This window comes from Homo sapiens, chromosome 10 (genome assembly GCF_000001405.40).
Source record: "Homo sapiens chromosome 10, GRCh38.p14 Primary Assembly".
Taxonomy (NCBI): Eukaryota; Metazoa; Chordata; class Mammalia; order Primates; family Hominidae; genus Homo; species Homo sapiens.
The window spans coordinates 67,593,209-67,608,691 of record NC_000010.11 but is presented as its reverse complement, the minus strand read 5'-3'; the positions used below and the strand labels follow the sequence as shown (position 1 = coordinate 67,608,691).

The 15,483-nt window shown below is 36.8% G+C and overlaps 1 protein-coding gene across 7 annotated transcripts in view; it reads left to right on the top strand.

Annotated features, from left to right (window-relative positions):
* CTNNA3 (catenin alpha 3) overlaps nucleotides 1–15,483 on the top strand; it is a 1,851,072-nt gene that overhangs the window by 154,903 nt on the left and 1,680,686 nt on the right. For all 7 annotated transcript variants that reach the window (XM_047425124.1, NM_013266.4, XM_017016152.2 and 4 more), the window contains one exon: nucleotides 1,643–1,835. In XM_047425124.1, the coding sequence (XP_047281080.1) occupies nucleotides 1,643–1,835 (193 nt within the window). The remainder of the gene's footprint in view (nucleotides 1–1,642; nucleotides 1,836–15,483) is intronic.

Here is a 15,483-nt window from a genome sequence, read left to right as displayed (position 1 = left end):
AGATTCATTTCTTTCTTTTTTTCCCCAAGCTTTATTAAATTAAAATTGGCGAATAAAATTTATATATATTTATGGTGTACCCTGTGATGTTTTGATATATGTATACATTGTAAAATGATTAAATCAAGCTAATTAACACATTTCTCACTTCATATACTTGTGGTGAGGAGTTTGTTCAAGTTTTGCTACTCGAAGAATGCTCTAGAAGGCTGTGTATGTGTGTATTGTTTTAATTACAGAAACTTCATATAAAAAATACAGAACTTTGATAAAACAGTCAAAAATGAGAGTAGAAAATTATGTATCTCCAAAATATCAAATAATTATAAAATAAAATTTATACCACTTTTAAGCCAGCAATCTACATTAAGAGGGAGCCAAAAATAATTATAATTAAGTCAGTATTAGTCTATTTAGGCTGAGAATAGAGATAACTAATATTAGGAGAGGGAGAAACATTCTGAATCATATAGAACAGTGGTTGCTTCAGGGGACAAAGTCCAAATCCTTACTATGACCTACTTTCTTGCCCTTTGTAACCTTTCAGATCTGTCTTCTACCCTTTCCCCTAACTCATTTGGCCTCTCAAACAGGTCTCACTCAAAGTCCCCTGTCAAGAGGCCTTTCCTGACCACCCCGATCCCCACTCTCTCTCACTGTATTCCCTCCGCCAACTTTATTTTTCCTCAAAACATTTACTGAACCTTACATTTTTAAATTTGTTTATATGTTTATTGTATGCTGCCGATATTAAGAATGTAAACTCCATGAAAGCATGAAATGCATTTCTTTTCCATCATCCAGAACAATGTAAAAAATAGGTGTTCAGTAAATATTTAACATAGAAATGATTTGATGACTGGGGTAGTTGAAGAGAGGACATTTTAATGTCTATATTTTGAAATTCAATCACTAAGACTCCCACTTCCTTCCTATTTTTAGTTGGGAACTCCACGGTGGCTGCTGTTGCTGTTCTTGGTGCCATGACTTGACTTTTGTAGGTGTACCAACAGCACTGGAAATGAGTCATGTTACTATGAAATACAGTTGACCTTTGAACAACACTGGTTTGAACTATGCAGGTTCACTTTTAATCAGATTTTTTTTCAATAAAAGTTACATCAAGTGTGCCTGCCTCTCCTGCCTTCCCTTCCACCTCCTCCATCTCTTCTGCCTCTTACACCCCCAAGGCAGCAAGACCAACCCTCCTCTTCTTCTTCATCTTCCTCAGGAATATGAATATGATGAGGATGAAGACCTTTATGATGATCCATTTCTACTTGTTGATTTATTTAATTATGTTTTCTCTGCCTTATGATTTTCTTAATAACAAATAACACTATCGTCTCTCTAGCTCATCTTATTGTAGGAATATAGTTATATAGTACATACAGATACAAAATCTGTGTTAATTGACTATTTATGTTATCAGGCTTCTGGTCAACAGTAGGCTATTCGTAGTTATGTTTTTGAGGAGTTGAAAGTTATACTCAGATTTTCAACTGCACGGTGGGTTGGCGCCCCTAGCCCTTGAGTTGCTCAAGTGTCAACTGTACTGTCTTTTGTTCTGGTCTGTAATATCCCAGGACTGTGTTCTCCTTACAATTTGTCAATTTAGTACTTTGTATTTTTCCAATTTTAGGTTACCACACTTGTAAACTGTCCCCAGAACCCTTCCAGCAGGAAAAAAGGACGTTCGAAAAGAGCCAGTGTCCTTCTAGCTTCTGTGGAGGAAGCAACTTGGAATTTATTAGACAAGGGAGAGAAGATTGCCCAGGAAGCTACAGTTTTAAAGGATGAGCTTACGGCTTCACTTGAGGAAGTTCGCAAAGAAAGTGAGTACTCCAATCCTGGTCAGGAGCAAACTGCATATCTTTAGGGTGTTAGTCACCCAAATTAGATTTGTGAGTGTTTTGTTTTTGTTGGCTCCAGTTTTTTAGTCTTTTGCAGAGCTGTGAGGAGCTAGCTGTGGGAGGCAGAGTGGCTCATTAGACAGCTCCAAGGCTCAGTCCCACTCCAGGCTCTTCTTTTTAGTTGCTCGGTCCCCCCAGGCAATTCCTCTTCCTCCCCTGCCTTGCCATAGCTTTTCCATAATAAACAAAGAGAAGAGTACCCTTTTTTGGTCTTAGAATATAGTGAGAAATGACTAATGAAGCTGAAGATTTATTTGTCTATACATAAATAAATTATGAAGTTCCTTGAAAACAGCTGGGAAATAGAAGTTTCAGACCTGACCATCTCAGAAGTACATTTTTAACCTTGCAAATTTCTGGAGGTTTAGACTTCCTAAACTTTTCAAAAAATGCTTTGCATAAACTGTGAATGAGCCAAGTTGCTGCTTTGTTAATATTACATAATAAAAGCATATATTTCATCTTTTTGAGATCTTTACTTATGATAATACAGCAATTTTCTAATGAATATAGGTCTCAACTGTAGGACAGTTTAAAATAATTGCTGAATATTCTTTGGTTAGTGGAATGATTTCGTATATATCAGCTTTCTGCAAGTATCTATTTTGGGAGGAAAAGGAAAGTTAAATTTTCTTGTTCAGCTTTGTAAAAGAGACTTGGGATTTTTAAATATTTTTCTCCCTCAATCCCCCAACGTAACTTTAAGAAAATCAGGAAGCCTTTGCTAATTAAATAATTAAAATGAATATACTAGTAACAATAAGCTTTATGTCACATGTATGATACAGGGGATTTAAAAAAAATTTTTGGCCGAGTGCGGTGGCCCATGCCTGTAATCCCAGCACTTTGGGAGGCCAAGGCAGGTGGATTGCCTGAGGTCAGGAGTTCAAGACCAGCCTGGCCAACATGGTGAAACCCCATCTCTACTAAAAACACAAAAATTAGCTGGGTGTGGTGGCAGGCGCCTGTAAACTTGGGAGGCTGAAGCAGGAGAATCGCTTGAACCTGGGAGGCAGAGGTTGCAGTGAGCCGAGATCACACCATTGTACTCCAGCCTGGGGGACAAGAGCGAGACTTCGTCTCAAAAAAAAAAATTTTTGTATTTATGTGAATTTATTTTTAAAATAAATTTTACTGTGTATATTTAAGGTATACAACATGATGTTATGAAATACATATAAATAGTAAAATGGTTGCTGTAATAAAGTAAATTGACATATTCATAATCTCACAGTTACCCATTTTTTTGTGTGTGTAGCAAGAGCATCTAAATCTACTCCTTTAGTAAAAATCCTGAATACAGCATTATTAACTATAGTCTTCATGTTGTGTACTAGATTTCTAGAGCTCATTCTTCATAACTGCAACTTTGTATCCTTTGATTTGCACTGACCCATTTCCTCACTCCTGCCCCCAGCCCCTGGTAGATACTGTTTTATTCTCTGTCTCTGTATGACTTTCTTAAACAAAGATTCTACATATAAGTGAGATCCTGCAATAGTTTTCTTTCTATGTCTAGCTTATTCCACTTAGCATGATGTTCTTCACTTTCATCCATGTTGTGGCAAATGACAGGTTCTCCTTTTTTCCTTTGTATATATAGACCAATTTCTTTATCGATTCATCTGTTGATGGATGCTTAGGTTGTTTTCATATCTTGACTATTGTGAATAATGATACAGTGAATATGGGAGTGCAGGCATCTTTATGAAGTGGTGATTTCCTTTACTTCAGTGTTATACCCAGAAGAGGGATTGCTGGCTCTTAATGGTAGTTCTATTTCTAATTTCTTTAGGAACCTCCATACTGTTTTCCAAAATGGCTACACTTTGTTATGTATGTTATATACAATTTATATTTTATAGGTATTCTTCAGACAATAAATAGAAAACATAATGTGCAAAATAATTTGAAATATATTTGTTGTTTTTCCCTGCTCCCTACCAACTGAGACCCTCTCTTTGTCCTTGTTCTTGATCATCATCTTAGTCACCAAGCCAGTTTAGACTCTTCCTTTCATTCCACCCTCTCTTCCAATTAATGTCTAAGTTCAATGAACTTTTAAAAACTTTTCTAAAACTTTTATTTTAGGTTCAGGGTACATATGCAGGTTTGTCATATTGGCGTCATGGGGGTTTGGTGTACAGATTCTTTTATCAGTCAGGTTCAATGAATTTTTTCTCCTTGTTGTCTCTCAGATCTGTTCCTTCTACTCTATTCCTAACATTGCTTCATGAATTCAGGATTATTGCATTAGCCTTCCTCCATAGTAAAATCAAATAGATCTTTTAAAAATGAAAATATGCTCATTTTACTTCTCTGCTTAAAATCATTTTTAGTAGCTGTTGGAGGATCAGGGGGACTATCTTTTTCAATAAAGTTCAAACTTTTAAACCTACCTCCCAAAGCATTTCATGATTTGGCTTCTACCATTATCTTGCACCTCTTTCCTGTGATGCACCTCCCTCATATGTTCCTCCAAACAGGAACTCGCAGTTTCTTGAATGTTCCGTGTTGCTTTATGCCTCTGTGCATGTGTTATCAGCTACAGTCATACCTTACTTAACAATGGGGACATGTTCTGAGAAGTGCATCCATATGCCATTTTGTCATTGTGTGAACATCATAGAGTGTACTTACACAAACTTAGATGGCATAGTCTACAACACACCTAGGCATCCTAGGCTACAAACTCGTACAGCATGTTACTATACTGAATGCTGCCAGCAATTATTAATATAACATAGCGGTAAGTATTTGTATATCTAAACATAGAAAAGACACAGTAAAAATATGGTATAAAAAATTAAAAAATGGTACACCTATGTAGGGCACATACCATGAATGGAACTTGCAGGACTGGAAGTTGCTCTCAGTGAGTCAGGGAATCATGAATGCCTAGGACATTACTGTATATCACTGTAGACTTTATAAATACTGTACACTTAGGCTACCCTAAATTTATTTAAAAATATTTTTCCTTCTTCAATAATAAGTTAACCGTAGCTTACTGCAACTTTTTAACTTTATAAACTTAAAAAATTTTTAACTTTTTGACTCTTTTGTAGTAATACTTAGATTAAAACACATTGTACAGCTGCACAATATTTTCTTTTTTATGTCCTTATTCTATAAGTTTTTTTCTTTTTTACATTTTTAATTATTTTTTTTTTTACGGTTTAAAGTTTTTTTTACTAAAATCTAAGACACAAATACACACATTAGCCTAGGCCTACACAGAATCAGGGCTATCAATATCACTGCCTTCCACTTTCATATCTTGTCCCACTGAAAGGTCTTCAGGGGCAATAACACGCATGGGAATTTTCATCTCCTGTGATAACAATGCCTTCTTCTGGAAGTGTTACCAAAACCCACAGGCGTTGCACTACAATGTTACTATGGCTATGAGGTCACTAGGCAATAGGAGTTTTTCGACTCTACTATATTCCTATGGGACCACCGTCATGTACGCATCTGTTGTTGACCAAAATGTTGTTATGCAAAACATGACCTTATTCCCGTCACTTGGATTGCTTTTCTAATTCAGCCAGTTTTTGCTCATGTAGCAAAGCTGAGCCCAGGTCATCTTTTCCAGGAAGTGTTTACTGACCCCGTATGCTGATTTAGATGACTGTCTTCTGTGTCCTTACAGACTGAGCACCTCTCGTTCATGACACTAACCACCCCATACAGTAAACATTGATGTACTTGTTTAGTAAATCATGACTGTTAGTTAATTTATTGAGCGTGGCAGGTACCAAGTGTTATTTGATTACCAATGCCTGACACATCACAGACACCTGTTAAACGTTTGTTAAATAAATTAAAAAGTTGAAGCATCCTTTTGTCACTTTATATTATAAAATTTTGTAATAGTCTTATCTTTGCTTTTACGGAAAATTAACTCTCATAATTATAGTTTCTCTGTTGATTCTTTGGTAAGGGATATGAGCCCTATCCTGACATTGTTTCTGTAGGAAAATGTGATCTATTTGACAACATAGTTTCCATAAACTGTCTGGTAATAAGTATGTACGTCATCAGTCATTCTCAGAAGGGAACAATAATTGCCATGAGATGGTATTTCCCTTTGTTTTTAAGTAAGTTAATCTTTTTAGTTCAAAAAAAAGATGTTATTTTAAAGAGAAGTTCTCAAAGAGAAGTCTTGATTCTAGGATTATGCTGTACAGGGTATATCCTTCACTGTGTTCTATTATAATGTGTGAAATACCTCTACATGTCATATGCTGTATACACAACAGATTCATTTGGTTAAAGATCACCAAATGCTTTACTGTGTGATTTATTTGACAAACTGCCAAAATGAGCTACCGCCAGCAACTTCAGTGTGGGAGGAAAGCAATGCAATGGCACATCGTTCTGGAATTTGGGGAACAGCCAATGATTATCCTATGGATAGTAGGGATAGTGACAGTGAAAGCACTGTTCCCAAAAGCTTGGAAGGAATTTTAAGCTCAGTGGTGGGGTTGAAGTATAAGAAGAATGGATTCTGATCCAATAAACTCTACAAAATACTTGAAACATATTTTAAGTAGTTTCCTGCTTTGAGTTTTTTTTTTTTTAAAGGTATTTGTCCAGTGGCATAAGGTGAAGGACTAATGAAGAACAACTAATAAGGTTAAAGTATTTGGAAAAGTGAAAATATATTGAGAGTACAGATAGCTTTATTATATATTTATTGACTTATTTTTAAGAATTTTGAGACCAATTTAGAAAACTTTTCCTTCCAATAAAGACATACTATAATTTATGTAGCCTTACTACAAGATTCTGTTTTATTGCTATCCGTGGCTTTATTTACAGACTTGAAGTGATAAATAATGTGGGTATTTTGGTTACCTAAAGAACCTGCCCATGAAAGGTGAAACAGGGGTAGTATAAAGGAGAGACGGTGAAAGGAAAGGTAGTATGTGTAGTATGTGGGTAGAAGTGTAGAGATTCAGCAGAGGTGGTTCACATTGTAAGTAATACTTATAGTTACTCATGATCTTATGGCTTACTCCTACACTACCAATACAATGACAAAGTATTAAATTTGACATTTTCTTTAAATAGTTTTAGAATATTCGTATAGCAGTTACCCAGGAATTAGGTAAGAGTTGTTTATAATGTCTAGATTACATGTTTTGCCTGTAGCATATATACTACCTTTATATAGTTTCTATTACCCTAAAATCTCTAGACATTGCTTCTAAGCCAGGGGTCCCCAACCCTGGGTCGTGGACCGGTACTGGTCCATGGCCTATTGGGAACCAGGCCGTACAGCAGGAGGTGAGTGGCAGGCAAGTGAGCATTACTGCCTAAGCTCCACCTCCTGACAGATCAGCTGCGGCATTAGATTCTCATAGGAGTGTGAGCCCTATTGTGAACAGCGCATGTGAAGGACCTAGTTTGTGTGCTCTTTATGAGACTCTAACGCCTGATGATTTGAAGTGGAATGGTTTCATCCTGAAACCATCCCCATTCCCCCCATCCACCATCTGTGGAAAAATTATATTCCATGAAACCGGTTTCTGGTGCCAAAATGGTTGGGGACAACTGTTCTAAGCCACACAAGTGGTTATTTTTAATGTTTTAAATGGTTTATTGAAGAATAACATATATACAGAAAAGTGCACACATTATCTCTAACAACAATACATATCCACATAGTGAACACACTCATGTAACCTCCACCCACGTCAAGAAATAGAATATTATTAGAACCCTAAGAGGGCCCCTTGTCCCCGCTACCAGCTACTACTCTGTCACTATCCTGACTTCTAACACCATAGGTGAGTTTTGCCTCTTTTTGAACTTCAAATACTGAGACTATACAGTATGTTGTATTTTGTGTCTGATTTCTTTTGCTTAATGTTGTATGTCTGTGAGAGCTCACCATGTAGTAGTTCATTCATTCATTGATAATAAACCATAATTTATCTATCTGTTCTATTGCTGATGAACATTTGAATTATTTCTGGTTTTTTCTTTAATGAGCATTGCTATTATATACACATTTGTGTATTACTTTCAGTGCATTAATGTAGACTTTCTTTTGGACTAATACCTAGGAATGAAATTTCTGGGTCATAAGGTATACATATGCCCAGCTTTAGTAGATATTACCAAACAGCTTTCCAAAGTGAATTTTCTAATACGAGCTCCAACTGCTCCACATTCTTGTGAACTTGGTGAACTTGGTGTTGGCAAGTGTCAGTGTTTTTAATTCAAATGTATGTAGTGGTATTATATTGTAGTTTTAATTTGTATTTCTGTGATAACTTTTTATATGTTCTAGATATGAGTCCTTTTGTTAGTTGTAGGTATTACAAATATCTTCTCCCTTTCATAATATTAACCATTTTTTAATATTCAGAAGTTCTTAATTTAAATAAATTCCAAATTATTATTTTGTTCCTTTATGGGTAGAGACTTTTATGTTCTGTTAAAAAAAAACTTTGTTAACATAACTACTTCAAAGTCAAGAAGATATTTTCTTACGTTACTATCTGGAAGCTTTATTGTTTTATAATCTACCTGGGAATAAATTTTTATGAATTGTGTGAATTAGAGGTCATATTTTTTTTGAAATACAGAAATTTAATTGCTCCAGTACCATTTATAAGCATTTAGATGTTTAGTTTTTCCAGTACCACTTATTGAATAAACTGTTTTTTTCTTTTGAATTACTCTTTCACCTTTGTTGAAAACCAGTTGACCATATATGTATGGGTCTACTTAGGTGCTCTTACATGAATATGAATCTTTGATTTATATATCTATTCTTACACCAATGCCACAATAGTCCTAATTACTGTACCTCATAGTAATTGAAATACAAATTATTTTTATTAGGTTATTCTAGGTGCCTTGAACCTCATAGAAATTTTAGAATTAGCTTGTTAATTTTTACAAAAAAGTCCACTGAGATTTTGGTTAGGACTAGATTAGATCTATGGATCAATTTGTGCTGAACTGACATTTTAACAGTGATGAGTCTTCTGATTAAAAACATGGTATATATCTCTACATTTATTGTGGATACAAATCTTGCACATATTTTATTAAATTTGTCCCCAAGTATTTCATATCTTCTGATATTTTAAATGGTACTTTATAACATTTAATTTAAATATATCACAATAATTCTTTCTGCCCTCTCCAGTCTATTTTAAAATCCATCCAGTGAACTTTTTTTTTACTTTAGTTCCTGAATTTTCATTTGTTTTTTGAAAATAGTTTCCATTCCTGAAATGTCCTATCTATTCATCCATTAGGACTAGCCTCTTTTAAAATCTATTTATGATAGTTGCATTACACCCTTTATTTGCTGACTACAACTGGGTTTTGTTTCTGTTGACTGATTTTTCTTTTACTATGGGTGACATTTTCCTGTTTCTTCATATGATAGTAAGTTTTGGTTATATACTTGACAGCATAGAAAATAGACTATAAGTATTTTGGATTCTTGTTTGGGTGAAATGGTAGAGATGGAAAAAGAAAGAGATGTTTCGGATTCTTTTATTTTCCTTGGAAGAGTGTTGAGTTTTACTTCAGCAGGTGGTTAAATTACTGATGAATAACCAGGAGTTTGTGTAGCCTTTTTAACAGGTTGATTCGGTTTTTATTCTTACAGAGAATTCTTAGTCCTGGGACATAGTCTTTTATTCTATAGTGTGGCCTTGGTGGAGTTTCAGTGGACAGTTTGATGTGTTTACAAAACCCATCTAACTTGCAGGATTCAAACTTTAAACTCTGTTGTTCCTGAAATGAAATGGGCAGCAATTGAAATCACAGCACAGATTTTTATTTTTATTTTTTTTCCTTATGAGTATTGGTTTCTATTGGGTTCTTCAGCATCTCCCCAATTTTAGAAAAATTCATGTGTACCTTTAGGGCTCCCCAGTCTGTAGTTTTCTCTTTTATGAGATTTTTTTACCTTCAGTTTTTGCTCATTCTGTCCTTTCCCAGACTCTGTCCTGTGACATCTTAAATCAGTAAGATGGTAGCTTTCTACTTGAGTTCTAACTGCCCTATGCTGTCCCAGTGGAGAGTGTACTTACAGGAAATGCCATATAAATGTAACTCTCAACCACTACGGTTTCTAGTATTTCAAGAGTCAAATTCTCTCCAGTTTCTTTTTTCTTTCTGTCCTTGTCAGGTGCCTTGAAATAGTTGTTTTGGGAGGAGCCAAGATAGCTGACTACAGGGTTCAGGAAGAGCTTCTCCCACCAAGAGACCACACCGTCAAAATCAGCACATTCTGAACAGTACTTCGGAAGGAAGGCATTGAAAGTGGTTGGAAGGAGAATGCAGATCCTGGGCTGAAGGGGGGAGGAAGTTGGGAACCCTGCATGGGGTTGCCAAGCACCAGGACTCATTCCTGGCCCTGAGAGGCTCCCAGGGAAGGGATGAGTTAAATAGGCATAGAGTGGCCTGCTCTCACCAGGGACCTCAAGAATCCTAGGTGCAGGAGACCCCATGATCCCCATAGACATTTGAACTGACAAGGAGAGCTGTTTGGAGAGCTGGCAAAGACAGGAATCCAGCCTGCATGGAACCCAGAAGGTTTGGAACAAGAATGATCACAGTGGCACATGGCCAGGGATGCCCAGCCCCCAAGGCTTGCCATACTCCTCTAGGTGGTTTTGGCCTTTCTTAACTGTCAGATCTAGACAGAACAGGGCTATCTAACTGTAGGGTGGAGCCAGTCTGATGAGTGCTCCTCTGTCTGCCCAGCCTCTCCCAAGGTCTCTGTCTGGCTGCATCCACTTGCAGTACAGCCTCAGACGCCCAGCTGATATACTTTCCTGTAGCCACCACCATAACTCTTTGGCTGGTAGATCCAATATAACTGTCAGATAACTTTTGCAGATGGGCCCTCACCAGTGTGCACCCTCTCACAGCTTCCACCCACCACTTTGCTGGTGTGCATTCACCTGCAGCCTCTTCCTATAAACCTTGCCACTGCCACCCTGGTGCCACTGGAGCACATGTGCATGCACAGCCCCCACCGCCCTACCACTGCCCTGTTGCTGCAGGTGCACACATGTGAGCATGAACCCCACTGACACCACCCTGATGAAGGGCTTTTGTCAGCACCCTCCATCAGAGTATTGTTGCCAGTGGACCAGGAAAATCTTGGTCTCTCCAGTGTAGCAGGGCCAGAGAACAAAGCTGTGGGCTTGGTCCCAGCCCCCACAGGGTTAGAGCATGCAGCACAGAAGTGATGAGCTGAGCCTTGACCTTCTGAAATCATCCAGAAATGAAGCCAGTTGACCAAATCCAACTTATACCACAGTCAAACCACCAAGGGCATCAAAGAATATAAAAGCAAAAAGCTCGATCCAAAGGAGAACAAGCTCAAAGATTTAAGGGAACATCAACCCACACAGATGAGAAAGAACCAGTGTAAGAACTCTGGCCACTCTAAAAGTCAATGTATTCTTACTTCCAAATGACTGCACTAGCTCACCAGCAGTGGTTTTTAACCCAACTGAAATGGCTGAAAGACAGCATAGAATTCAGAATTTGGATGGCAAGAAAGATTATCAAGATTTGGGAGAAAGTTGAAACCCAATCCAAGGAATCTAAGGAATCCAGTCAAATGATTCAAGAGCTGAAAGATAAAATAGCCATTTTAAGAAAGAACCAAACTGATCTGATAGAGCTGAAAGACTCACCAAAAGAATTTTGTAATATAACTGGAAGTATTAAAAGCAGAATAGATCAAGCTGAGGAAGGAATCTCAGAGCTTGAAGGATGGTTCTTTGAAACAACTCAGTCAGATAAAAATAAAGGAAAAAGACAAAAAAGGAGAAAACCTCTGAGAAATATGGGATTATGTAAAGAGACCAAATCTATGACTCATTGGCATCCCTGAAAGAGAGGGAAAGAGAGAATGCCTTGGAAAACATATTTGAGGATATTGTCCACAAAAATTTCCCCAATCTCTGTAAAGAGGTTGACATTCAGATACAGGAAATTCAGAGACCCCTGTGACATACTATACAAGATGACTATCCCCAAGACACATAATTATCATTCTCCAAGGCAAATGCCAAAGAAATAGTACTATAGGCATCTAGAGAGAAGGGGCAGGTCATCTACAAAGGGAATCCCATCAGGCTAATAGTGGACCTTTCAGCAGAAACCCTAGAATCTGGAAGAGACTACAGGCCTATATTCAGCATGCTTAATCCTTGAAGAAAAGAAATTCCAACCAGGAAGTTCATATTCAGTCAAACTAAGCTTCATAAGCAAAGGAGAAATAAAACCCTTTTTAGAAAAGCAAATGCTAAGGGAATTTGTTACCACTAGACCTGTCTTTCAAGAGGTCCTTAAAACCCATTTACACCTAGTGTTCCATCATTGGAACAATAAGCATATGGGAATTATTTATATCCTACTACTCAAGGTCATCACCAAGGTCTGATTGTAAAAATTAAAAAAATTGCAACCTCAGGTATAAATGGGTTAAGGGAGTGCTAAACATGGAAACAAAAGACTATTACCAGCCACCACAAAACACTTAAGTACATAGATCCAATGCACTATAAAGCAACTACATAATCAAGTCTACATAAACACCAGCTAACAACATAGATGGCAGGATCAAATCTGCACATATCAATGTTAACCATAAATGTAAATGGGTTAAATGCCCCACTTAAAAGGCATAGAGAAGTAAGTTGGATAAAGAAGCAAGATCCAACTGCATGCTGTCTTCAAGAGACCCATCTCACCTACAGTGACACCCATATGTTCAAAATAAAGGGATGGAGAAAGATTTACCAAGCAAATGGAAAACAAAAAAGAGCTGAGGTTGATATTTTTTATTTCAGACAAGTCAGACTTCAAACCAGCAATGATGACAAAAGACAAAGAAGGGCATTTCATAATGTTAAAGGGTTCAATTCAACAAGAAGACTTAACTATTCTAAAAATGTATGTACTCAACACTAGAGCATCCAGATTGATAAAACAAGTTCTTACAGACCTATAAAGATAGATAACCACACTATAATAGTGGGAGACTTCAACACCCTACTGACAGAATTAGACAGACCATGGAGGCAGAAAACTAACAAAGATATTCAAAACCTAAACTCAACACTTGACTGAATAGACCTAACACATCTACAGAAGACTCCACCCAACCACAGAATATACATTCTTCTCATCTGCACATGGCACATACTCTAAAATCAACCAAATGCTCAGCTATAAAGCAATTCTCAACAAATTCAAAGAAACTGAAATCATACCAACCACATTCCAGGTCCTCAGTGCAATAAAAATAGAAATAAATACCAAGATGGTCTCTCAAAACCATACAATGACATGAAAATTAAACAATGTGCTCCTGAATGACTTTTGGGTAAACAATAAAATTAAGGGAGAAATCAAGAAATACTTTGGAATAAATGAAAACAAAGATACAATGTACCAGAATCTCTGGGACACAGCTAAAGCAGTGTTAAGAGGAAAGTTTATAGCACCAAATGCCCACATCAAAAAGGCAGAAGGCTCTCAAATTGACAGTCTAAATTTTAGCTAGAGGAACTAGAAAAGCAAGAGAAAAACAACCTCAAAGTTAATGGAAGAAAAGAAATAACCAAAATCAGAGCTGAACTGAATAAAATTGAGACGTAAAACACATTTTGGTGTGTATATGCATGATAAAATTCTACTCAGACATAAAAGGAACAAATTAATGACATTCACAGCAACTTGGATGGAGCTGGAGACTATTATTCTAAGGGAAGTAACTCAGGAATGGAAAACCAAGCATTGTGTGTTCTCACTCACAAGTGGGAGCTGAGCTATGATGATGCAAAGGCATAAGAATGATACAATAGATTATGGGGACTCATTGGAAAGGGTGGGAGGTGGGGTGAGGGATAAAAAACTACAAACTGGGTACAGTGTATACTGCTCGAGTGATGGGTGCACCAAAATATCACAGATCACCACTAAAGAACTTACTCATGTAACCAAATGCCACCTGTTCCTCCAAAACTCATGGAAATAATTTTTTTAAAAAATAAAAAATCAATGAAACCTAAAGTTTGTTTTTTGAAAGAACAAATAAGATTGATAGACTACTACCTAGATTATGAAAAAAAAATAGAGATGATCCAAATAAACACAATCAGAAATAAAAATGGGGACATTACCATCAACCTCACAGAAACATAAAAAACCCTCAGAGACTATTATGAACACCTCTATGCACATAAACTAGAAAACCTAGAAGAAACTGATAAATTTCCAGAAACATACAAGCTCCCAAGAATGAACCAGGAATAAATTGAAACCCTGAACAGATCAGTAATGAGTTCTGAAATTGAATCAGTAATAAAAAAATCCCTGCTAATCAGAAAAAGCCCTGGAACAGATGAATTCACAACTAAATTCTACCAGACATATAAAGAAGAGCTGGTACCCATCATTCTGAAACTGTTCAAAAAATCGAGGAGGAGGGATTCCTCCCTGATTCTACGAGGTCAGCAACACTCTGACACCAAAACCTGGCAGAGACACAATGATAAAAGAAAACTTCAGGCCAATATACCTCATGAACATAGATGCAAAAAGCCTCAATAAAGTACAAGCAAACTGAATCCAGCAGCACATCAAAAAGCTAATTCATGACAATCAAATAGGCCTTATCCCTGGGATGCAAGTTCCGTTCAACATATACAAGTCAATAAATGTGATTAATCACAAAAACAGAACTAAAAGACAACACACGATCATCTCAATAGATACAGAAAAGGCTTTCAATAAAATTCAACATCCTTTCAGTTTAAAAACCCTCAACAAACTAGGCATCAAAGGTACATACCTCAAAATAATAAAAGCCATCTATGACAAAGTCACAGTCAACAGCATATGAATAGGCAAAAGCTGGAAGCATTCTCCTTGAGAACTGGTGCAAGACAAGGATGCCCACCCTCATCACTCCTATTCAACATAGTACTGGAAGTCCTAGCCAGAACAATCAGTCAAGAGAAAGAAAAAAAAATGTATCCAAGTAGGAAGAGAGGAATTCAACCTATCTTTCTTTGCAGACGATTTAAGCCTATACTTAGAAAACCTCATCGTCTCTGCCCAGAGGCTCCTAGACCTGATAAACAACTTTAGCAAACTTTCAGGATACAAAATCAACATACAAAAATCACCAGCATTTCTATACAGCAATAACATCCAAGCAAAGAGCCAAATCAAGAATACAATCCATTCACAATAGCCACAAAAAGTACAAAATACCTAGGAATACAGCTAATCAGGGAGGTGAAAGGTCTTTACAAGGAGAACTAGAAAATGCTGCTGAAAGAAATCAGACATGACACAAATAAATGGAAAAACATTCCATGCTCATGGATCAGAAGAATCAATATTGTTAAAATGGCCATACTGCCTAAAGCAATTTACATATATATCCAAAAGAAAATAAATCATTCTACCAAAAAGACACATACACTCATGTGTTCACTGCAGCACTATTTACAATAGCAATGACATGGAGTCAACCCAGGTGCCCATCAATGGTGGATTG